The sequence below is a fragment of the Homo sapiens genome, chromosome 3 (assembly GCF_000001405.40).
Source record: "Homo sapiens chromosome 3, GRCh38.p14 Primary Assembly".
NCBI lineage: Eukaryota > Metazoa > Chordata > Mammalia > Primates > Hominidae > Homo > Homo sapiens.
The window spans coordinates 166,897,579-166,921,489 of NC_000003.12; the positions used below are offsets into that span (position 1 = coordinate 166,897,579).

Sequence of the window (23,911 nt, forward strand, 5' to 3'; positions counted from 1 at the left end):
ATTCCGGATCACCAGTACTTTCCCAAAATTTAAGTGTAGATTGCTTCTCAGTTAAATTGTCTGTTTTCAAACTGCCCTAGTGTACATCCTAGTGAATATCTGTATGATATTTGGGGCAGGATGCTACTCTTTGTATCCCCTCCAACATGTCTTCACTTCTGTGATGATTTAATTTTTATAACTTTTTTTTTTGTTTTCCTTCCTCAGATTTCAGTATATCCTCTTGTCTTTGCATTTCTTTCCTAACTTTGTGTATTTCTACAATGTGGATTTGTTTCTCAACTACAATCATCTTGTTATGTTTTTATAAAATTTATAGAAAAATATTTAGTTTTGGTTTTCATTGTTTTCCCTTGGAATTTTTTTCTTGTGAATGTTTTTTGTTTATGATTTGCTTTTCCTTTGCTCTGACAGCATAGTTGTAGATACAGTCATATTTCCTGAAGAAAGTAGGTTTTTCTGTTTCTAAAGACTCTGATTCCCTTTATAAGCAATGCCATCATAGTAGAGAATTCGCTGTTTAATAACAGGCTGCCCTCTATTTCTATGTTAGGGCTTCACAGTGAAGAAAAACAGAACTCATGTTTTAACCTCATGCTTGCTGGGTGCACTTACCAACAGCTTCATTAAATTTCTAGATTCTTGCAAAAGGTTTATTTTTGCAGTCTTCATGTCAACTGTAATTGTTCTCTTTACTGTCCTCACAACAGAATAAAATACATCAAGGAGAGCTTGCCAGGGGCTATGTTAAATGAGAAGATTTTTGATAATTATTCTGTAAACCATGTTTTTGGGAAAGTTGTGTGCCAGTGAAACAAATATTCATTTAGTGCTTGTTTGTACCTAGATAAAGATACAGACTAACATCGAATGTAATGGTGAACAGCAAAGAAAAAGTTTTAACATTCAAGGATTTTATATTAATGGGAGAAGAGATATATAAAGAAATAAACAGTTAACTAAGTTGCACTTCAGAAAGCTACTTAGAGAAAAATTAAGCATGGTAAGTGTGATAGGGAAGCCCTGGAGATTGGTTAGGATTGCTGTTTTATATAGGGAAAGCAAGAAAAACCTCAGTAGTAGATTAAAAGTTGAGCAGCGACTGGAAAGAAGCAGAGGTAGCCATGGAAACAACTGTTGAGGGCCTACATCTTAGGAGTCTAAATGTACATGGAACTCAAGAGCTTGATTCTACTCTACCTTTAAGGTATGTTTATGTGTGTTCTGTCCTAGAATTTTATAAACTTAGTATTCTTAACCCTTTTTTTACTTTATAATTTAATTGATCCTTTAGTTATAGGTTTCATGTTTTTCTACTCTTACATTATTTTAATACTAGATTTAGAGTGATACTTTTTTTCCAGTTACAATATGATTTTCTGTATTACTGACTATGGAAACTTTCTGATACATTGTCAGAGAGTTTCCAAAATATTATTTAAACAAATTTGTGATAATTATGTATTCTCTGTTATAGGTTGAATTGTGTCCCTTAAAAAGAGATGTTGAAGTCCCAATCCCCAGTACCTGAGAAATGGGTCAGATTTAGAAATAGGATTGTTGCTAATGTAGTCAGTTACAATGAGGTCATTAGGGTGGGTCCTAATTCAATGTGACTGTTGTCTTTATTAAAGGGGTAAATTTGGAGACAGAGACAGACATGAATAGAGGGAAGACAATGTGAAGACATACAGGGAGAAGGTGACCATGTGACAGGAGTGGTGTTCCTACAAGCCAAGGATTGCCAATAAACCACCAAAAGCAAGAAAATTCAGGGCAAGATACTCCTCCAGAGGCTTTAAAGAAAGCATGGCCCTGCCAATACCTTGATTTTGGATTTCTAGCCTCCACAGCTGTGAAAGAATAAATGCATGTTGTCTTAAGCCACCTAGTTTTTGATATTTTCTTATGACCTTTCCCTAGGAAATTAGTATATCCTTGTATGTCTTGCATTTTCTTTATGCCTCACTGAGCTATGCCAACATAGAAATAGAAAAATGCAATTTTTAAAAATTTTTATTGCCATCAGCTTACCAAATCCCTCCTCCTTTTATTTTACTTACTTCACAGCTTTGGAAAGGTCCCTGCTTCCTCTGAGTCTTCTACAGATACAGCAAGAACCCATTGGACGAGGTGACCCATGGCTTTCTCCTATAACTGGAGTATCTTCTGGCCAGGCCCATGGAGGAATACTCCCTAATAACCAAATTCTGAGGCATTCATTCATTATCTTTAAAGCAGTGCTTCCCAAACTGTAACATGTATGTTAATATAAATTACCTATTGATCTTGTTAAAATGCATAGTCTAATTGAGTATTCTGATTGAATATTTTATATTTCTAATAAGTTACCTAACAATGCTGATGCTCGTGTTCCAAGGACTGCATATTGAGACACAAAACTCTAAAACTTGACCCATAACTCAAGTCATAAACCCAAGTATCATTCTTAACTTCCTCAGCCAAAACTACTTCCAGGTTAAGCAGCAGTTTTCTGCATTTTTGAAAAATGGTACTTCTCTAGATGTTGAAACTTGAAAAAGATATTCTATTGGTGAATAAATTAAAAATAGATGCCCCACTTGGTTGGATATTTTAGGAGACAACACAGCTTCTGTTGGAATATATAGTTCTAACAGGACTCAAGGACTGGCAAATTAAACAAGAGCTGCATTTCAGTCTCCACTTTCCTTTTACTCAAATGTCTTTAAAAGGCACAACCTGCAAAAAGTGAGGCCTATCCCTTCTCCACCTTCCTGCTCATCAAGAGCAATCAAGTTATGTCAAGTATAATTCAAATATTCTCTTTAATCTATCTTCTTTTTCCTCCTTGACTCATTCAGACATTAATCGCATGTAATCTAATTACTTATCTTCAATCACTTACCCCAGAAAAATATTTTCTTTATTGCAACCATATTTACCCTTCTAAAACATAACTCTACTTATCTTCTTCCTCTCCTTAAAAATGTATGAAGAGTACACACCGTTATTAGTCCATTCTCACGCTACTGTGAAGAAGTTCCCAAGACTGGGTAATTTATAAAAAGGAAAGAGGTTTAATTGACTCACAGTTCAGCATGGCTGGGGAGTTCTCAGGAAACTTCTAATCATGGCAGAAGGCACCTCTTCACAGGGTGACAGGAGAATGAGTGCCAGAGAGGAAATCCCAGACACCTATAAAACCATCAGATCTCATGAGATTCTCTTACTATCATGAGAACAGCATGCGGGAAATAGTCCTCATGATCCAATTACTTTCCAGTGGGTCCCTCCCAGGACTTGTGGGGATTATGGGAACTACAATTCAAGATGAGATTTAGGTGGGGACACAACCAAACGATATCAACACCTTCAAGATGATAACCTACAAATCCCTCAGCATGACATAGAAGAGGTTTTAAGGTACTACCCTAACTATGACTTAAGGTTGACTGTACTTCTTTGGTTTCTATTTCCCTATATCTCACCCGTGTATTTGCCTAGAGTTTCTGGCCACTATTGTGGTATACCAGGTGCGGTGGAACTTAAAATTATCAAGCCCAGACTAGGTTGGCAAACAAAACAAGCATACTATAGTCCAATGGAGAGAATTATAATATCAAGAGGCTTTGCTACAAGTGAAAGCTTGCATGTAATAATAGAACTTAATACTAACCTTCAATGTAGTTATTCATTAGATTTTGTTAAAGTCTTAACACAGTTCACAAGTAAAAACAAACAAACAAAAACATGTTTATCTATGATACTGTAAAAGATAGTGTCTGTGACTCATTAAAATGGGTAATGTCTTCCTGGGCACAGAGCCAGACTCCATTTCTTACTCTCACTTCTACATAAGTATAGCCATATATCTAAGTTCTAAATGATGTGTGCTACATTGTTACAACAATGCCTCCTAGTGAATTATATCTCTGTACATCTCCATTGCTTTACAAGGTGACTTCACAACTCTTCATATCAAAAGATGGAGTTCATTTCCAACCTCTTTTAATTCAGACTGGCCTTGGGACTTCTTTTGAGCAACAAAATATGGCAGGAATAATGTTGTGATCTCTGAGGTAGGTCTTACGCATCTTGCAGCTTCTGTTTGCATCCTCCACCGTCCACTTGCATTTTAGTCTTTCATTTTAGGCTTCTCCAAAGCATAGGCATTGCTTTTCTATGCCTATGCTTTGGAGAAGCCTAAAATGAAAGACTACTTGACCAGGTCCCAACTGATCCATCAGCTGAATGCAGCCAATGACTTAGCCAAAACAAGACTAGCAGAAGATCAACTCAATCAAATCATGAAATTGTGTGTATCAGGGGAAACATTGTAGTTGTTTTGGGACATGGAGTGTTGGAGTGATCCTTTACACAGAAATAGATATAGAAAGTGACATTTCCAAAAATAATTGTACCATTTCCAGAACTGACCCAAAATACTCTCTTCCTTTTCTCATTAGCTGGAATGGAGATGATTCCCAAAAAACCTTAGAAGGCATTACTGAAGATAGAAAAACCTCCCAGAGCCTGATTTCTGAATGATTGTCCATTTGGCATAGTCACCAGGTAAGTTCAGAACTGCAAGAAATAAAAAGTATATTTTAGTCATTTTACATTTTGAGTTTTAGTACAGAATTTCACTTACACTAAGTAATATACAAGCAGTAATACCATTAATATAGTATTTGGCATTTGTTTAGCTAATGTCTAGTTTCAGAAGCGTTTTATTTAAAAACAAATAGCTTTTGTGAAAAATTATTGGTTATTTATATATAATTATATTTGCAATATAAATTAATTTTTTTCACACAAAAACATTTTGGTAAAATAGAGAAAAATTCAGGATAGGGAAGCATTTACCTATAATTCCAATACTTGCATGTTTTATTTCTTGCATGTGTGCATTTTTTACTAAATTTATACTTTAAGCTAACATATTATATACAATTTCTATACTAATTCATAACTTTTTAAAATGGTTGCATCACACTCCATCTAGTGGATACAGCATAACATTTCTTATGCCTTTTTATTAATAATTTAAGTTCCAAATACTCAGTGTTGTAATTCTATAATGAGCATTTTTGTAAACATAGCTTTTTCTTTTTTATGTCACTCCTTTATTTGCCACTCTTAAACTCAACATTTTATTACTTATGTTGAGTTATTCAAATTATTTAGTGCACTTAATTCACTTCACAAATTATTTGCTTTAAGTTTATGTTATGGTTATTTAAAAGACAATAATATTAATATAATATTGAATTCTTTATCAAACACCACAGTTTCCCCTCAATTTTCAAGCTTAATCACTATATAGAATGTGAAATAATGATGATTATTTCTTTCTCCCCCCAAAATGTTTAGGCTGTTATTTCCCAAAAAATGGCTTAATACTTTGTACGTCTTTTTTTCTATATGATTAATGATAGTTATTTTCCAAAAACCAAGAACCAAGAACACTTTTGTTCTACTGAACCATGTTCTCCATATTATATTACCCCGAAGAGACAATGATTTCATGTAACGCAATAAGATAACCATACCTACTACCCTATCATTGACTTCTTCACATCTTCTTCTGTTTATCTCTACTTGAATATATTGCTGACACCTGAAATGTAAAATTTTAAAACAACATAAATTACATTATCTGTCAACACATACTTTCTCCAATGTTTCTATTACTTTTAAAATGTTGTCAACATCCTCAAGCTTACCCAGAGCTTTCCCCTGCTATTCAGACTCCTGTATTTTTCATTAGCTGGCCCATAGGCTCCTGAAAAATAATATATGTCCAAAATGAAACCAATCATTTTACTTTTGCATGTACTTCGATTTCTGATTTTTCCCTCTCTGTGAGTCGTAGTATCAATCCAAGTCATTCAAACCAAAAACCAGAGTCATACTCATGCTACCAAAACCCTTCTTATCTGATCACTCTTTTTATTTGGTTTTGTTCATTTTTGCTTGTTAACATTTTTATTGACATATAAACTTTATGCAGAAAGTACAGAAATATTAAACGGCTTTATGAATTTTTTACCAGCCAAATACATGTTTATAAGCAGGAGCAATTTAAGGAGAAGAACATTGCTAATATATGAGAACTCTGTTAATGCCTACTTTCAGTAACTAAACTCCATAGAAGTTTAACCATGATACTAATTTTCTTTTTTTTTTTAATTATACTTGAAGTTCTGGGATACATGTGCAGCATGTGCAGGTTTGTTACATAAGTATATACATATGCCATGATGGTTTGCTGCACTTATCAACCTGCCATCTACATTAGGTATTTCACCTAATGCTATCCCTCCCCAAGCCCTCCACCCGCTAACAGGCCCTGGTGTGTAATGTTCCCCTCCCTGTGTCCATGTGTTCTCATTGTTCAACTCCGACTTATGAGTGAAAACATGCAGTGTTTGGTTTTCTATTCCTGTGTAGTTTGCTGAAAATGATGGTTTCTAGCTCCATCCGTGTTCCTGCAAAGGACACGAACTCATCCTTTTCTATGGCCGCGTAGTATTCCATGATGTATATGTGCCACATTTTCATTATCCAGTCTATCATTAATGGGCATTTGGGTTGGTTCCAAGTCTTTGCTATTGTGAATAGTGCTGCAGTAAACATATTTATGTATGTGTCTTTATAGTAGAATGATTTATAATCCTTTGGATGTATACCCAGTAATGAGATTGCTGGATCAAATGGTATTTCTGGTTCAAGATCCTTGAGAAATCTCCGCACTGTCTTCCACAATGGTGGAACTAATTTACACTCCAACTAACAGAGTAAAAGCATTCCTATTTCTCCACATCCTCTCCAGCATCTGTTGTCTCCTGGCTTTTTAATGATTGCCATTCTAACTGGCAAGAGATGGTATCGCATTTCAGTTTTGATTTGCATTTCTCTAATGACCAGTAAAGATCAGCTTTTTTTTTTTTTTCATGTTTCTTGGCCACATAAATGTCTTCTTTTGAGAAGTGTCTGTTCATATCCTTCACCCACTTCTTGATGGAGTTATTTGTTTTTTTCTTGTAAATTTAATTTCCTTGTAAATTCTGGATATTAACCCTTTATGAGATAGATAGATTGCAAAAATTTTCTCCCATTCTGTAGGTTGCCTGTTCACTCTGATGGTAGTTTCTTTTGCTGTGCAGAAGCCATTTAGTTTAGTTAGATCCCGTTTGTCAGTTTTGATTTTTTGTTGCCATTGATCTTGGTGTTTTAGTCATGAAGTCTTTGCCCATGTCTATGTCCTAAATGGTATTGCCTAGGTTTTCTTCCAGGGATTTTATGGCTTTAGGTCTTACATTTAAGACTTTAATCCATTTTGCGTTAGTTTTTGTATAAGGTGTAAGAAAGGGTGCAGTTTCAGTTTTCTGCATATGGTTAGCCAGTTTTCCCAACACCATTTATTAAATAGGGAATCCTTTCTCCATTGCTTGTTTTTGTCAGATTTGTCAAAGATCAGATGGTTATAGATGTGTGGTGTTATTTCTGAGGTCTCTGTTCTGTTCCCTGGTATGTATGTATGTATGTATATATATATATATATATATATATATATATATATATATATATACACACACACACACACACACACACACACATATATGATGTGTGTGTATATATATGTGTGTGTGTGTGTGTGTGTGTGTGTGTGTGTGTGTGTGTGTGTGTTTTGGTACCAGTACCATGCTATTTTAGTTACTGTAGCCTTGTTATATAGTTTGAAGTCAGGTAGCGTGATGCCTCCAGCTTTGTTCTTTTTGCCTAGAATTGTCTTTGCTACACAGGCTCTTCTATTAGTTCCGTATGAAATTTAAAGTAGTTTTTTCTAATTCAGTGAAGAAAGTCAATGGTAGCTTGATGGGGATAGCATTGAATCTATAAATTACTTTGGGCAGTATGGCCATCTTCACAATATTAATTCTTCTTATCCATGAGCATGGAATGTTTTTCCATTTGTTTGTGTCTTCTCTTATTTCCTTGAGCAGTGGCTTATGATTCTCCTTGAAGAGATCCTTCACATCCCTTGTAAGTTGTATTCCTAGGTATTTTATTCTCTTTGTAGCAATTGTGAATGAGAGCTCACTCATGATTTGGCTCTCTATTATTGGTGCATAGGAATGCTTGTGATTGTTGCACATTGATTTTGTATCCTGAGAGTTTGCTGAAGTTGCTTATCAGCTTAAGGAGATTTGGGGCTAAGACGATGGGGTTTTCTAAATATACAATCATGTCATCTGCAAACAGAGACAATTTGACTTCCTCTCTTCCTATTGAATACCCTTTATTTCTTTCTCTTGCCTGATTTCCCTGGCCAGGACTTCCAATACTCTGTTGAATAGGAGTGGTGAGAGACAGCATCCTTGTCTTGTGCTGGTTTTCAAAGAGAATGCTTCCATCTTTTGCCCATTCCATATGATATTGGCTGTGGGTTTATCATAAATACCTCTTATTATTTTGAGATATGTTCCGTCAATGCCTGTTTATGAGTTTTATTTTACTGAGTGTTTTTGCATGAAGTGGTGTTGAATTTTATCAAAGGCCTTTTCTGCATCTATTGAGACAATCATGTGGTTTTTGTCATTGGTTCTGTTTACATGATGAATTATGTTTATTGATTTGTGTATGTTGATCCAGCCTTGTATCCTAGGGATGAAGCTGACTTGATTGTGGTGGATAAGCTGATGTGCTACTGGATTCAGTTTGCCAGCATTTTATTGAGGATTTTCACAACAATGTTCATCAGCAATATTGGCCTGAAATTTTGTTGTTTTGTTTTGTCTCTGCCAGGTTTTGGTATCAGGATGATGCTCGCATCATAAAATGAGTTAGGGAGAAGTCCCCCTTTTTCTATTGTTTGGAATAGTTTCAGAAGGAATGGTACCAGCTCCTCTTTTTACCTCTGGTAGAATTTGGCTGTGAATCCATCTAGTCCTGGACTTTTTTTTGGTTGGTAGGCTATTAATTACTGTCTCAATTTCAGAACTTGTTATTGGTCTATTCAGGGATTCGACTTCTTCCTGGTTTAGTCTTGGGGGGGCGTATGTGTCCAGGAATTTATCAATTTCTTCTAGATTTTCTAGTTTATTTGCAAAGAAATGTTTATAGTATTCTCTGATGGTAGTTTGTATTTCTGTGGGATCAGTGGTGATATCGCCTTTATCATTTTTTAATGTGTCTTTTTGATTCTTCTCTCTTTTCTTCTTTATTAGTCTGGCTAGTGTTCTATCTATTTTGTTAATATTTTCAAAAAAAAACAAGCTCCTGGATTTATTGATTTTTTAAGGGTTTTTTTGTGTCTCTATCTCCTTCAATTCTGCCCTGATCTTAGTTATTTACTGTCTTCTGCTAGCTTTTGAATTTGTTTGCTGTTGCTTCTATGGTTCTTTTAACTGTGATGTAATGGTGTCAATTTCAGATCCTTCCTGCTTTCTCATGGGGGCATTTAGAGCTAAAAATTTCCCTCTAAACACTGCTTTAGCTATCTCCCAGAGATTCTGGTACGTTGTGTCTTTGTTCTCTTTGGTTTCAAAGAACTTATTTATTTCTGCCTTAATTTCATTATTTACCCAGTAGTCATTCAGGGGCGGGTTGTTCAGTTTCCATGTAGTTCTGGGTTTTTGAGAGAATTTCTTAATCCTGAGTTCTAATTTGATTGCACTGTGGTCTGAGAGACTGTTTGTTATGATTTCCGTTCTTCTGCATTTGCTGACGAGTGTTTTACTTTCAGTTATATAGTCAATTTTAGAATAAGTGTGATGTGGTGCTGAGAAGAATGTATATTTTGTTGATTTGGGGTGGAGAGTTCTTAGATTCTATTAGGTCTGCTTGGTCCAGAGCTGAGTTCAAGTCCTGAATATCCTTGTAAATTTTCTGTCTCATTGATCTGTCTAATATTGACAGTGGGGTGTTAAAGTCTCCCGCTATTATTGTGTGGAAGTCTAAGTCTCTTTGTAGGGCTCTAAAAACTTGCTTTATGAATCTGGGTGCTCCTGTATTGGGTGCATATATATTTAGGATAGTTAGCTCTTCTTGTTGTATTGATGCCTTTACCATTATGTAATGCCCTTCTTTGTCTTTTTTTTAAATTTTTGTTGTTTTAAAGTCTGTTTTATCAGAGACTAGGATTGCAACCCCCTTTTTTTTTTTTTTGGTTTCCATTTTAAATTTTCTTCCATCACTTCGTTTAGAGCCTGTATGTGTCTTTGCATGTGAGATGGGTCTCCTGAATACAGCACACCAATGGGTCTTGACTCTTTATCCAATTTGCCAGTCTGTGTCTTTTAATTGAGGCATTTAGCCCATTTATATTTAAGGTTAATATTGTTATGTGTGATTTTGATCCTGTCATTATGATCCTAACAGGTTATTTTGCCTGTTAGTTGATGCAATTTCTTCATAGTGTCTACGGTCTTTACATTTTGGTATGTTTTTGCAGTGGCTGGTACTGGTTTTTCCTTTCCATATTTAGTGCTTTCTTCAGGAGCTCTTGTAAGACAGGCCTGGTGGTGATGAAGTCCCTCAGCATTTACTTGACTGTAAAGGATTTTATTTCTCCTTCACTTAAGAGGCTTAGTTTGACTGGATATGAAATTCTGGGTTGAAAATTATTTTCTTTAAGAATGTTGAATTTTGGCCCTCACTGTCTTCTGGCTTGTAGGATTTCTGCAGAGAGATCCGCTGTCAGTCTGATGGTCTTCCCTTTGTGGGTAACCCAACCTTTCTCTCTGGCTACCCTTAACATTTTTTCCTTCATTTCAACTGTGGTGAATCTGATTATTATGTGTCTTGAGATTGCTCTTCTCAAGGAGTATCTTTTTGGTGTTTTCTGTATTTCCTGAATTTGAATGTTGGCCTGTCCTGCTAGGTTGGGGAATTCATCCTGGATGATATCCTGAATTGTGTTTTCCAACTTGGTCCCATTCTTCCTGTCACTTTCAGGTATGCCAATCACACATATGTTTGGTCTTTTCACATAGTGCCATATTTCTTGGAGACTTTGTTCGTACCTTTTATTTTTTTTTCTCTAATCTTGTCTTCATGCCTCATTTCATTAAGTTGATCTTCAGTCTCCGATATCCTTTCTTCCACTTGATTGATTCAGCTATTGATACTTATGCATGCATTATGAAGTTCTCATGCTGTGTTTTTCAGCTCCATCTGGTCATTTGTGTTCTTCTTTAAACTGGTTATTCTAGTTAAACGTTCCTGTAACCTTTTATCAAGGCTCTTTGCTTCCTTGCATTGGCTTAGAACATGCTCCTTTAGCTTGGAGGAGTTTGTTATTACCCACCTTCTGAAGTCTACTTCTGTCAATTTGTCAAACTTATTCTCTGTCCAGTTTTGTTCCCTTGCTAGTGAGGAGTTGTGATCCTTTGGAGGAGAAGAGGCATTCTGGTTTTTGGAATTTTCAACCTTTTTGCATTGGTTTTTCCTCATCTTCATGAATTTATCTACCTTTGGTCTTTGATGTTGGTGACCCTCGGATGGGGTTTTTGCATGGATGTCCTTTTTGTTGATGTTGATGCTATTGCTTTCTGTTTGCTAATTTTCCTTCTAACAGGCCCCTCTTCTGCAGGTCTGCTGGAGTTTGCTGGAGGTCCACTCCAGAACCTATTTGCCTGTGTATCACCAGTAGAGGCTGCAGAATAGCAAAGATTGCTACCTGCTCCTTCCTCTGGAAGTTTTGTCCCAGAGGGGCACCTGTCAGATGCCAGCTGGAGCTCTCCTGTATGAGGTGACTGTCAACCCTTGCTGGGAGGTGTCTCCTAGTCAGGAAGCACGGGGGTCAGAGACCCACTTGAGGAGGCAGTCTGTCCCTTAGCAGAGCTTGAATGAAGTGCTGGGAGATCTGCTGCTCTCTTCAGAGCTGGCAGGCAGGAATGTTTAACTCTATTGAAGCTACGCCTACAGCCACCCCTTCCCCCAAGTGTTCTGTCCCAGGGAGAATGGAGTTTTATCTATAAGCCCCTGACTGGGGCTGCTGCCTTTCTTTCAGCAATGCCCTGCCCAGAGACATGGAATCTAGAGAAGCAGTCTGGCTATAGTGGATTTGTGGTGCTACAGTGGGCTCCACCCAGTCTGACCTTCCTAGTGGTTTTGCTTACACTGTGAGGGGAAAACCAACTACTGAAGCCTCAGTAATGGCAGATGCCCCTCCCCTCCCAAGCTCAAGCATCCTAAGTCGACTTCAGACTGCTGTGCTGGCAGTGAGAATTTCAAGCCAGTAGATCTTAGCTTGCTGGGCTATGTAGGGGTGGGATCCACTGAGCTAGACTATTTGGTTCCCTCCTGGCTTCAGCCCCCTTTCCATGGGAGTGAATGGTTCTGTCTCACTGGTGTTCCAGGTGCCACTGGGGTACAAAACAAACTCCTGCAGCTATCTCGGTGTCTGCCCAAATGGCCACCAGTTTTGTGCTTGGAATCCAGGGCCCTGTTGGTGTAGGCACCCGAGGGAATCTCATGGTCTGTGGGTTGCAAGGACCATGGGAAAAGAGCAGTACCATGATACTAATTTTCAACATCATAGATTGATTTCTGCTGTTTTTTAAATTATATAAATTATACAATATATTATTTACCCTTTTATATTTATATTCTTTCATTTGTGTTGACTTTAGTCCCAGTTCTTTCATTGTTGTCACTATATTCTATTCAATGTATGCAACAAATTTATTGTCAATAAAATGGATAATAGATCTTTGTCTTTTGGAGGGGTTTATTTTAATAGAGTTTCTGTGCATGTACCTGTACATGATTTATTGTGCATTTATGTAGATATATGCTGAAAAGAGAAATAAAATTGCAGACTAATGGAATATAAATATGTATAAATATACAGATGTATCTATCTATCGAGAGATGATTGATAGATAGATAGATAGATTCTGCTCTATTTGATACTAAAATGGTTTACAGAATTGTTGACATAAACTTGCATTTCCAGCATTAGTATATAAGCAAGGGTTGCAGTTACTTTACATATTTTCAAACATTTTATATTGTTTGTCTTTTTTTTTCTACTTTTGCCATTCCTGTGCGTGTATAGTGGTTTTAGATTATGGATTTAATTTAAATTTTCAAATGAAACTCAGTAACTTTTCATTTGAATATCCTTTTTTATGAAATACCAATATTTTCAAAGGATTCTCTTTCTCATGCTTATTAGAATTTCATTACATATTATGGATATGAGTCATGTATTGAATATATATAAAAAAATTTTTTCCCACATCATGGTTTTTTAAATGTCTTAATGCTGTATGTTATATATAATCCAATTTATGTTTTTATCTCCTTTGTGATTACTGCTGTTAGTATTCAGTTTGAGAAATCTCTGTATACCTCACAGCCATTAAGTTGATTTTTTTATTTTCTTCTAAAACTTATTATTTTACCTTACTTAATTAGCTCAAAATTCACCTGAAAAATAGTGTTTTTCATTGTTTAACTTAGGGTCAAGTGTATTTTCTTTTCACATATTGACACAAAATTGAGCCTCTGTAACATACGCAGAAGACTATCTTTTCTCTACTGTTCCTCTTTTTAATAAAACACATGACATAAAATTTGTAATTCTGTTTTGAGTTTCCTCTTCTGTTCCACCAGTCAATTTATCTTTCATTATGCTGATACCATAGCATCTTTTTTTTATAGTAACTCTTGATAAGATAGCTAGAGTTCAAGAGCTTTGTTGATCTTCAATATCAGCTTGGTTGCTATCAGCCCTTTACATTTTTATTAAAAAATTAAATAAACCTCTTATTGTCTATGAAAAACCTGGCTGAGATTTTGCTAGGGGTGTACTAAATCTGTAGAATAATTTGGAGAAAATTGACATCATTATAATCTTGAGTGTTCCAACCCATGAACATTTTGTATTTCTTCATTTATTTAAATATTTCATTTTATTATTTTTATTATTTTTTTACCTTTAACATAGAGGTTGTATGGGTTGTATGATATATTTACTCATAGATATTTGATTTTTTTTGACCATGGTACTTTTTTTTTTTTTTTGTATTTTCTGGTGGCCAGGTACAGTGGTGTATTCCTGTCATCTCAGCTAGTTGTGAGGCTGAGGTGGGAGGACTGCATAAGCACAGGACTTTAAGGCCAACCTGGGCAACATAGCAAAACACTGTGTCTAAAATTTTTATTTTCTATTTGTTCATTGCTGGTGTTTAAAAGCTGGAAGCAATCTTTGTATATTGACCTTGTATTAACAACTTTATTAAATTCATATGTTCCATATTACAAATCTCAGAAGATATGTTTAAATTTAACCCATCTGCATGATAAATTATGTAGATTTTCTGTACTTAATAGATTGAAGAAGATCTCTTACCAGTTTGCTAAATGCTGTTGTAATTATTATTTGCTAAATTTTACTATATGCTTTTCCTGTATTTTTTCTGAATAGTTTAATTTTTGAATGTTAAACCATTAGATTCTTTTTTTTTTTGTCTTAAGTCTGTTCATGATACTAAAACAAAATAACTTAAACTGACCATTTAATAGGAACAGAAATGTATTCCTTACAATTCTGGAGAATGGGAAGACCAAGATCAAGCTGCTGTCAGTTTCAGTGTATGATGAGGGCTGCCCTCTACCCAACTGGTACTTTCTCTTTGTGTGTGTGTGTGTGTGTGTGTTTTGATATTTTCTTTTCTTAACTTTTATTTCAGGTTCTAAGTTACATGTGAAGGTTTGTTCCATAGGTAAACTCATGTTACAGCTGTTTGTTGTACAGATTATTTTATTACCCAGGTATTAAGCCCAGTAGCTAATAGTTACCTTTTCCGCTCCTCTCCCTGCTCCCATCCAACCTCAAGAAGACCTCAGTGTCTCTTATTTTCTTCTTTGTGTTCATGAATTCTCATCATTTAGCTCCCACTTACAAGTGAAAACATGTGGTATTTGGTTTTCTGTTCTTGTTTTACTTTGCTAAGGAGAATAGCCTCCAGCTCCATCCATGTTCATGTAAAAGACATGACCTCATTTTTTAATAACTGTATAGTGTTTCATGGTGTATATGTACCACATTTTCTTTATCCAGTCACTGATGGGCATTTAGGTTGATTTCATGTTTTTGCTATTGTGAATAGTGCTGCAACAAACATTTGTGTGATTAAGTCTTTATGGTAGAATCACTTATATTCCTTTGAGTATATACCCAATAATGGGGTTGCTGGGTTGAATGGTAGTTCTGCTTTTAGCTCTTTGAGGAATTGCCATACTGCTTTCTACAATAGTTGAACTAATTTACACTCCCACTAAGAGTGTATTGTTTTCTTTTCTCCACAACCTTGCCAGTATCTGTTAGTTTTTGACTTTTTAGTAATAAGCATTCTGAGTGGTGTGAGACGGTATTTCCTTCTGGTTTTGATTATACTCTAATGATCAGTGATGTTGAGCTTTTTTTCCTATGCTTATTGGCCACATGTACTTCTTCTTCTGAAAATTGTCTTTCCATGTCCTTTGACTTGCTTTGTAATGGTGTTGTTTGTTTTTCTCTTATAAATTTGTTTAAGTTCCTAACAGATGCAGGACAGTAGACCTTCGCTAGATGCATAGTTTGCAAACCTCCCATTCTGTAGGTTATCTGTTTACTCTGTTGATAGTTTCTTTTGCAGTGAAGAATCTCAAATTTAATTAGATCCCATGTGTCAATTTTTGCTTTTGTTGCTTTTGGTGTCTTTGACATGAAATCTTTGCCCATTCCTATTTCCAGGATGGCATTGCCTAGGTTATCTTCCACGGTTTTTATAGTTTTTGGTGTTTTACTTAGGTTAATCAATGTTGTATTAATTTTTGTATACAGTGTAAGGAAAGGGTCCAGTTGTAATCTTCTGAATATGACTAGCCAGTTATCCCAGAACAATTTATTCAAGAGGGAGTCTTTTCCCCATTGCTTTATCAGCTTTGTTGAAGTTCACATGGTTATAGGCATGAGGCCTTATTTCTGGTCTCTCTATTATGTTCCTTTATGTGCCTGTTTTTGTACTGGAACCATGTTGTTTTGGTTACTATAACCTTGTGGTATAGTTTGAAGTTGGGTAATATGATGCCTCCAGCTTTGTTCTTATTGCTTAGGATTGCTTTGGCTATTCAGATCTTTTTGGGTTCCATATTAATTTTAAAATAGTTTTTTCTAGATCTGTGAATAATGTCATTGATAGTTTGATGGAAATAGCATTGAATCTGTAAATTGCTTTGGATAGTATGGCCATTTTAATGCTTGATTCTTCCTATTTATAAGCATGGGATTTTTGTTTGTGTCTTCTCTGATTCTCTTGAGCAGTGGTTAATAGTTCCCCTTGAAGAGGTCCTTCACTTTCCTTGTTAGTTGTATTCCTAAGTATTTTATTCTTTTTTGGCAACTGTGAATGGGACTGCCTTCCTGATTTGGCTCTTGGCTTAGCTGTTGTTGCTGTATAAGAATTCTAGTGATTTTTGTACATTGATTTTGTATCCTAAAACTTTGTTGAAATTTTTATCAGCTGAAGGAGGATTTGGGCCAAAACTATACGGTTTTCTAGATACAGGATTGTGTCTGAAAACAGAGATAGTTTGACTTCCTCTCCTACTATTTGGATGTCCTTTATTTCTTTCTCTTGCCTGATTGCCCTGAATAGGACTTCCAATACTATGCTGAATAGGAGTGGTGAGAGAGGACATGTTTGTCTTATGTTGTTTATCAAGGGGAATGCTTCCAGCTTTTGCCCATGTAGTATGATGTTGGCTGTGTTTTTTTTTTTTTTAATAGATGGCTCTTATTTTGAGGTATGTTCCTTCAATACCTAGTTTGCTGAGAGTTTTTCATATGAAGCAGTGTTGAATTTCATCAAAAGCCTTTTCTGCATCTATTGAGATAATCATGTGGTTTTTGTCTGTAGTCCTGCTTATGTGATGAATCACATTTATTGATTTGCACATGTTGAACCAACCTTGTATCCCAGAGATGATGCCTACTTGATCGTGGTGGATTAGCTTTTTGATATTCTGTTGGATTTGGTTTACGAATGTTTGGTTGAAAATTTTACATCAGTGTTCATCAAGTATATTGGCCTAAAGTTTTCTTTTATTGCTGTGTCTCTGCTAGGTTTTGGTATCAAGATGATGCTGGTCTCATAGAATGAGTAGAGGAGAAGTCCCTCCTCCTCAATTTTTTGGAATAATTTTAGTAGGAATGACACCAGCTCTTCTTTGTACATACGGTATAATTCAGCTGTTAATCCATCAGGTTTTGGGCTTTTTTTCTTTGGTAGGTTATTTATAACTGATTCAATTTTGGAGCTCATTACTGGTCTGTTCAGGGAATCAATTTCTTCCTGGTTCAGTTTTGGGAAGGTATATGTTTCCAGCAATTTATCAGTCTCTTCTAGGTGTTCTAGTTTATGTGCATGTTTGTGTGCATAGAGGTGTTCATAGTAGTTTATGATGGTTTTTTTTTATTCCTTCAGGATCAGTGGTAACATTCCCTTTGTCATTTCTAATTGTGTTTATTTGTATCTTCTCTCTTTTCTTTACTAGTCTGGATAGTGGCCTATTTTATTAATGTTTTCAAAGCTAACTCCTGAATTCTTTGATCTTTTGAATGGTTTATCTTGTCTTGACTTCCTTCAGCTCAGCTCTGATTTTTGTTATTTCTTGTCTTCTGCTAGCTTTGGGGTTGATTTGGTCTTGCTTCAATTAATTCTTTCAGTTGCAATGCTAAGTTGTTAAACTGAGATTTTTCTAACTTTTGATGTGGACAGTTAGTGTTATGAATTTCCCTCTTAACACTGCCTTAGCTGTGTCCCAGAGATTCTGGTATGTTGTAATTTTGTTCTCATTATTTTCAAAGAACATTTTTATTTCTGCCTTTATTTCATTATTTACTCAAAAGTCGTTCAGAAGAATGTTGTTTAGTTTCCATCTAATTGCATGATTTTGAGCAATTTTCTTAGTCTTGACTTCTATTTTTATCTCATTGTGGCCTAAGGTTGTGTTTGGTATTATTTTGGTTCCGTTACATTTGCTAAGGATTTTTTATGTCCAAGTACATGGTTGATTTTAAAGTATGTGCCATGTGATGATGAGAAGAATGTCCATTCTGTTGTTTTTGTGTGGAGAGCTCTGCAGAGGTCTATCAGATCCATTTGGTCCATTGTTGAGTTCAGGTCCTGAATATCTTTGTTAATTTTCTGCCTTGATAATCTGTCTAATCCTGTCAGTGAAGTATTGCAGTGTCACGCTATTATTATGTGGGAGTCTATTTCTCCTTGTACATCTCTAAGAACTTGCTTTATGAATCTGGGTGATCTTCTGTTGGGAGCATATATATTTAGGATAGTTAGGTCTTGTTGAATTGAGCCATTTACCAATATGTGATGCCCTTTGTCTTTTTTGATTTTTGCTGGTTTGAAGTTTGTTTTGTCTAAAATTAAGTAAGCAACCCTGCTTTTTTTCTGGTTTCCATTTGCTTGGTTGATTTTCCTCCATCACTTTATTTTTTGCCTATGGGTGTCATTACATGTGAGATGGGTCTCTTGAAGACAGCATACCATTGGGTGTTACTTTTTCATTCAGCTTGCCACTCTGTGCCTCTTAGGTGGGGCATTTACCACATTTACATTCAAGGTTAGTATTAATATGTGGATTTGATCCTGTTGTTGTACTGTTAGCTAGTTATTGTGTTGCCCTGTTTGGTTGGTTGCTGTCTGCTGACCCTGGTCTCTGTGTTTAAGCGTGTTTTTGTATTAGCTGATAGTGGTCTTTTCTTTCTATATTTATTGCTCCTTTCAAAATCTTTTGTAAGGCAAGTCTAGTGGTAATGAAGTCCATCACCATTTCCTTATCTGAAAAGGATCTTTTTTCTTCTTCACTTAGGATGCTTAGTTTGACTGGATATGATATTCTTGGTTGAAGATTTTTGTTTTCTTTAAGAATGTTGAATATAGCCCCTGAATCTCTTCTGGGTATAGGATTTCAGCTGAAAGGTCCTCTGATAGCCTGATGGGCTTCCTTTGTAGATGACCTGCCTTTTCCTCTAGCTGCCTTTAACATTCTTTCTTTAATGTTGACCTTGGAAAATCCAATAATTATGTGTCTTGAGGATGATCTTTTCGTGTAGTCAAGTAGCCAGACTGTTTTCCGCAGGGGTCCCTGCCTTTACTCCTTCTCACTGGGCAGCTCCTCCCTAACTGTGTTTCCAGCACAGTCTCCCTATTCCCACCTTAATTCTCTGGCCAGTAGCAGCCCTACATTTCTCTGGGATGAAGCTCCCAGAGGTAACAGAGACACTTGCCATTTTTCCTGTTGCTACAACTCCTACCTCCACTCCCCTAAGGCTGGGAAAGAGTGAACAACCTAGGAGTATCATGGGCCTCCAGGACACTGAAACTCACTCATGCAAAAGTGGCCAGACTGTTTACCACATGGATCTCTAACCCTGCTATTCCTCACTGGGCAGGGCTTCTCAACCAGGGCCCCCAGCACAGCTGCCCTGACATTGCCTAAACACATCAGTTGGTGATAGCTTTGAATTTCTCTAGGGAGGAATCCCTAAAGACAACCCACAGCCCTCTGCCCTTGTAGCTGCAACTGTACGACCTTACTGTCCTTGGCCTAGGGAAGAAACAAAGAGCCCGGTTGCTTCACTGGCAACTCTAGCATGCCACAGCCACCATACAGAAGGGAGTGCAGTCTCTCTTCCCTGTGAGATCCCACCCATTACTTTTCACCAAGCTTGGCCCCTGTCTTGGGCCTGTAGCACAGCCACCTCACCCCTTGCTGAACATTTCCATTGACAGAAGCACTGTGATTCTCTGAGGTGGGGCTCCCGGAAATAATTGACAGCCCTTCTGCCATGCCACTGCAGTAATACTGCCTTTGCTGCCCTCAGACTGGGAAAGGAACAAACATCCTGAGTGCTTTACTTTAACCTCCAACATGCTGCAACCACTCTAAGGTGAAGAGACCAATATTTGTTTGCTGCTAGCCCTCTTCCCCTAATACTTGTCACCAGGGAGGGTCATTGAGCATGAGCCTGCAAGGCAGCTACCCCACCTGTTGGTGACCATTCCAACTGGCAGTGGCTCTGCATTTCTCTGGGATGGAATCCCAAGAAACAAGTGAAAGACCCTCCGCTACTGCCATTGCCATGTTCCTCACCCCTTCTGTGCCCAAGTTGGGAGACAACAAAAACCCTGAGTTCTCTCAGAGCTGCATTGCACAGCCTGGGAGTATGAAGCAGAGATCTTCAGCTAGCATTCAAGTGGGAGAGAAACCCACATCCTCATAACACTGAAAGTGAGCACAACTGCAAATACAAGCAAGTATACAGGAGCAACGTGGCTGAGCAAGATCCCACCTACCAGCCATTACACTTAAGGGCCAGGTACTGTATTGCAGCCAAACTAATATACCCCCCTGTGAAACCAATTACAAGAATTCAGCCACAAATAAAGACCCTCACACAACTTCCATCCTGTAAAAACATCCAGGAATGAAGCCAAATGACTATAATCAAATTACACAACAGTTAAGGGAACATCAGCTTACCCAGGTGAGAAAGAATTAGTGCAAGAACTCTGGCAACTCTAAGGGCCAGGGTGTCTTCTTACCTCCAAATGATGACACTAGATCCCCAGTAATAGTTCTTAGCCAGAAAAAAAAAAAATGGCTGAAATGACAGACAGAATTCAGAATCTGGAGGGCAACAAAGATCATTGAATTTCGGGAGAAAGTTGAAACCTATTCCAAGGAATTTAAGGAATCCAGTAAAATGCCTTAAGAGTTGAAAGACAAAATAGCCCTTCTAAGAATGCACGAAACCAAGCTGATGGAGCTGAAAAAACTCACCAGAATAATTTTATTATACAATCACAAATATTAACAGCAGATTAGAAGAAAGAATCTCAGAGCTCAAAGACCAGCTGTTCAAATTAGCTCAGGCAGACAAAAATTTTAAAAAGGATTTTAACGACTGAGCAAAACCTCTGAAAACTATGGGATTATGTAAAGAGATCAAATCAAAGAATTATTGACATATATGAAGAAGAAAGCAAGCAACTTCAAAAACATATTTGAGGATAACTTCCATAAGGACTGTCCCAACCTTGCTAGAGAGATAGACATGCAAATTCAGAAAATGTAGAGAACTCACACGAGATATTATATGAGAAACCATTCCCAAGATACATAGTAATCACATTCTTCAAGGCCAATGTAAAAGAAAAAATATTAAATGCATCGAGAAAGTAGGAAAAGGTTACCTACAGAGGGAATCCCCATCAGGCTAACAGCAGACCTTTCAGCAGAAACCCTACAAGCTGAAAGAGATTGGGGGCCCATATTCAGCAACCTTAAAGAAAAAAAATTCCAACCAAGAATTTCACATCCAGCCAAACAAAGCTTCATAAACAAATGAGAAATAAGATCCTTTTCAGACAAGCAAACACTAAGGGAATTTGTTATTACTAGGTGTGCCTTAGCATTGGCCCTTGAAGAGTGCTACATATGGAAATGAAAAACTGCTACAGGCTACCACAAAAAGGCACTGAAATCGATAGGCTATTGACACTATAAGCAAATACACAATCAAGTCTGCGTAACAACCAGCTAACAACACAATGTCAGAACCAAATTCACACATATCAGCATGAACCTTGAACTTAGGTTAAATGCCCTGTGTAAAAGGCACCAAATGGCAAGTTGTACAAAGAAGCAAGACCTAATTCTAGGCTGTCTTCAAAAGACCCAACAAGAAATTTAATCCTTCAACAGACCAATAACAAGTTCCAAAATTGTTTCAGTAATAGAAAGCCAACCAACCAAAAAAAGTTCAGGATCAGATAGATATACAGATGAATTCTACCAGATGTATAAAGAAGAGCTGGTACCGTTACTACTGAAACTATTGCAAAAAATTGAGGAGGAAGGATTTCTCTGTAACTCATTTTATGAGGTCAGTATCATCATACAAAAACCTGGCAGAGATAAAAGAAAAATAAAAAACTTCAGGCCAATATTCTTCATGAACATAGATGCAAAAATTTTCAACAAAATACTAGCAAACAGAATCTAGATGTGCATCAAAAAATAAATCCACTATGATCAAGTAGGCGTTATTCCTGGAATGCAAGGTCAGTTCAACACATGGAAATCAATAAATATGATTCATCAATAAACAGAAATAAAAAAATCACGATTATCTCAATAGATGCAGAATAAAAAAATCTCTCAATAAAATGCAACATGTCTTCATGTTAAAAACCCTCAACAAACTAAGTATCAAAGGTATGTACCTGAAGAGTGATCACATCCACAGCCAACATTATACTGAAGAGACAAATGCTGGAACCATTCCCCTTGAGAACCAGAACAAAACAAGGATATTCATCCACTCCCACGACTCCTATTTCACATATTAATGAAAGCCCTAGCATGAGCAATCAGGCTAAAGAAAGCAATAAAAGACATCCAAATAGGAAGAGAGGAAGTTAAACTAATATTAAGAAAATAAAACAATGTATCATTATTATTAATAATTGAGACAACTGAACATTTATGATATTTTAAATATTATACTTTTTATTTTGTCTCTTTATTGTTCATTGCTTTCTTTAGTCCTTTGATGTGTATCTGAATACCCCAAAACTTAGTTACTTAAAACAATGATTTCTATTTCTCATGATTTTGCAAGTTTCCAAGGCAGTTTCTGCTGTGGTTTCAGCTGGGTTCACTCATGCTGCTTCATTTAACAGAAGACAATTCTGTGCTGGAGCTGACTCTTAGCAACACGGAGAGCTGATGGTTGCAGAAGTTCTGTAAACCAGATACCATCACATTAATGGATTGAAATTTACCATGATTGATGTCTTTAGACAGAAAATGCCAAATGCTACAAATTAGGCATTTTTCTTCCCATAGAGCCGCATTGTTAAATATTTATCAGCACACCACCTATTGGAGGACTGGCTGAACTAAAAGTTTCAAGATGACTTCACTAGATGTTTTCACCAATTTCTGTCAGCTGGTGTTGGCAATTGTCTGAGGAACCTCAGCTTTCATCCATGATACGTCTGATTATTTAAAAGTGTGTGGTTCCTCCCCCCTTACTGTTGTTATTATCTTCTGCTTGCTCCTGCTTTTGCCGTGTGACATGCCTGCTCCCCCTTCACCTTCCACCGTGATTGTAAGCTTTCTGAGGCCACCCTAGAGGCTTCCTGTAAAGCCTTCAGCCAATTAAACCTCTTTTCTGTATAAATTACTCAGTCTTCAGTATTTCTTTACATCAGTGCAAGTATGGCCTAAAACAGTCCACATGACCACTCACACTAAAGAAGTCTGAGCTGACTTCTTTACCTCGCAGTTTCAGTGCAACACTCTAAGAGGAACAGAAGTAGAAGTTGCTATCTGTCTTAACAAGTCACATAACATTACTTCAATCACATTCCATTGGTTACTTATGTAGCCTCTCTGATGCCTAGTTTCCTTTATCTATAAAGTTAATGTAGCTTACTAATAGCTTTTATAATAAGAGTTAAGTAATAAAACCCTTATGAAACACTTATGACAGTAACTTGTACATTAAAAATATTCATAAATGTCAATTACTATTATTATTTTATACTTTACATCCTTAATATGTCTCATATCGGTCACATTTTTCACCTCATTACCACTGTCTTTGTAAAAGATGCCCTACTTAATTCCTTGACAGTACCTAGTCTATGGTAATTCGGTCTTAGCACTCATAACTGTAAAGAAATAGTTGTTCATTTACCAGATTCCCACTTTTAGACTATAAACCATGGGAGGCTTAAACTCTGGAAAAATCACTCCATTCAATAAATATTTTTTGTATTAGTTTTAACACTATGAGAATGCTTAACCTGTTACCTTTTTCCCCATTTTCCCA

General features: G+C 36.5%; 2 long non-coding RNA genes across 3 annotated transcripts in view; one reads left to right on the forward strand and one right to left on the reverse strand.

Annotated features, from left to right (window-relative positions):
• Nucleotides 1-1,104: 1,104 nt before the first annotated feature.
• The window catches only part of LOC105374194 (uncharacterized), a 33,142-nt gene continuing 10,335 nt past the window's right edge, over nucleotides 1,105-23,911 (forward strand). The window contains exons 1-2 of the long non-coding RNA NR_135545.1: nucleotides 1,105-1,207; nucleotides 4,449-4,554. This is a non-coding gene — a long non-coding RNA (uncharacterized LOC105374194). The remainder of the gene's footprint in view (nucleotides 1,208-4,448; nucleotides 4,555-23,911) is intronic.
• The window catches only part of LOC105374193 (uncharacterized), a 75,141-nt gene continuing 53,230 nt past the window's right edge, over nucleotides 2,001-23,911 (reverse strand). For both annotated transcript variants that reach the window (XR_924675.3, XR_924674.3), the window contains exons 8-11: nucleotides 5,709-5,767; nucleotides 5,535-5,602; nucleotides 4,420-4,566; nucleotides 2,001-3,177 (exon numbers count right to left, since the gene is read on the reverse strand). This is a non-coding gene — a long non-coding RNA (uncharacterized LOC105374193). The remainder of the gene's footprint in view (nucleotides 3,178-4,419; nucleotides 4,567-5,534; nucleotides 5,603-5,708; nucleotides 5,768-23,911) is intronic.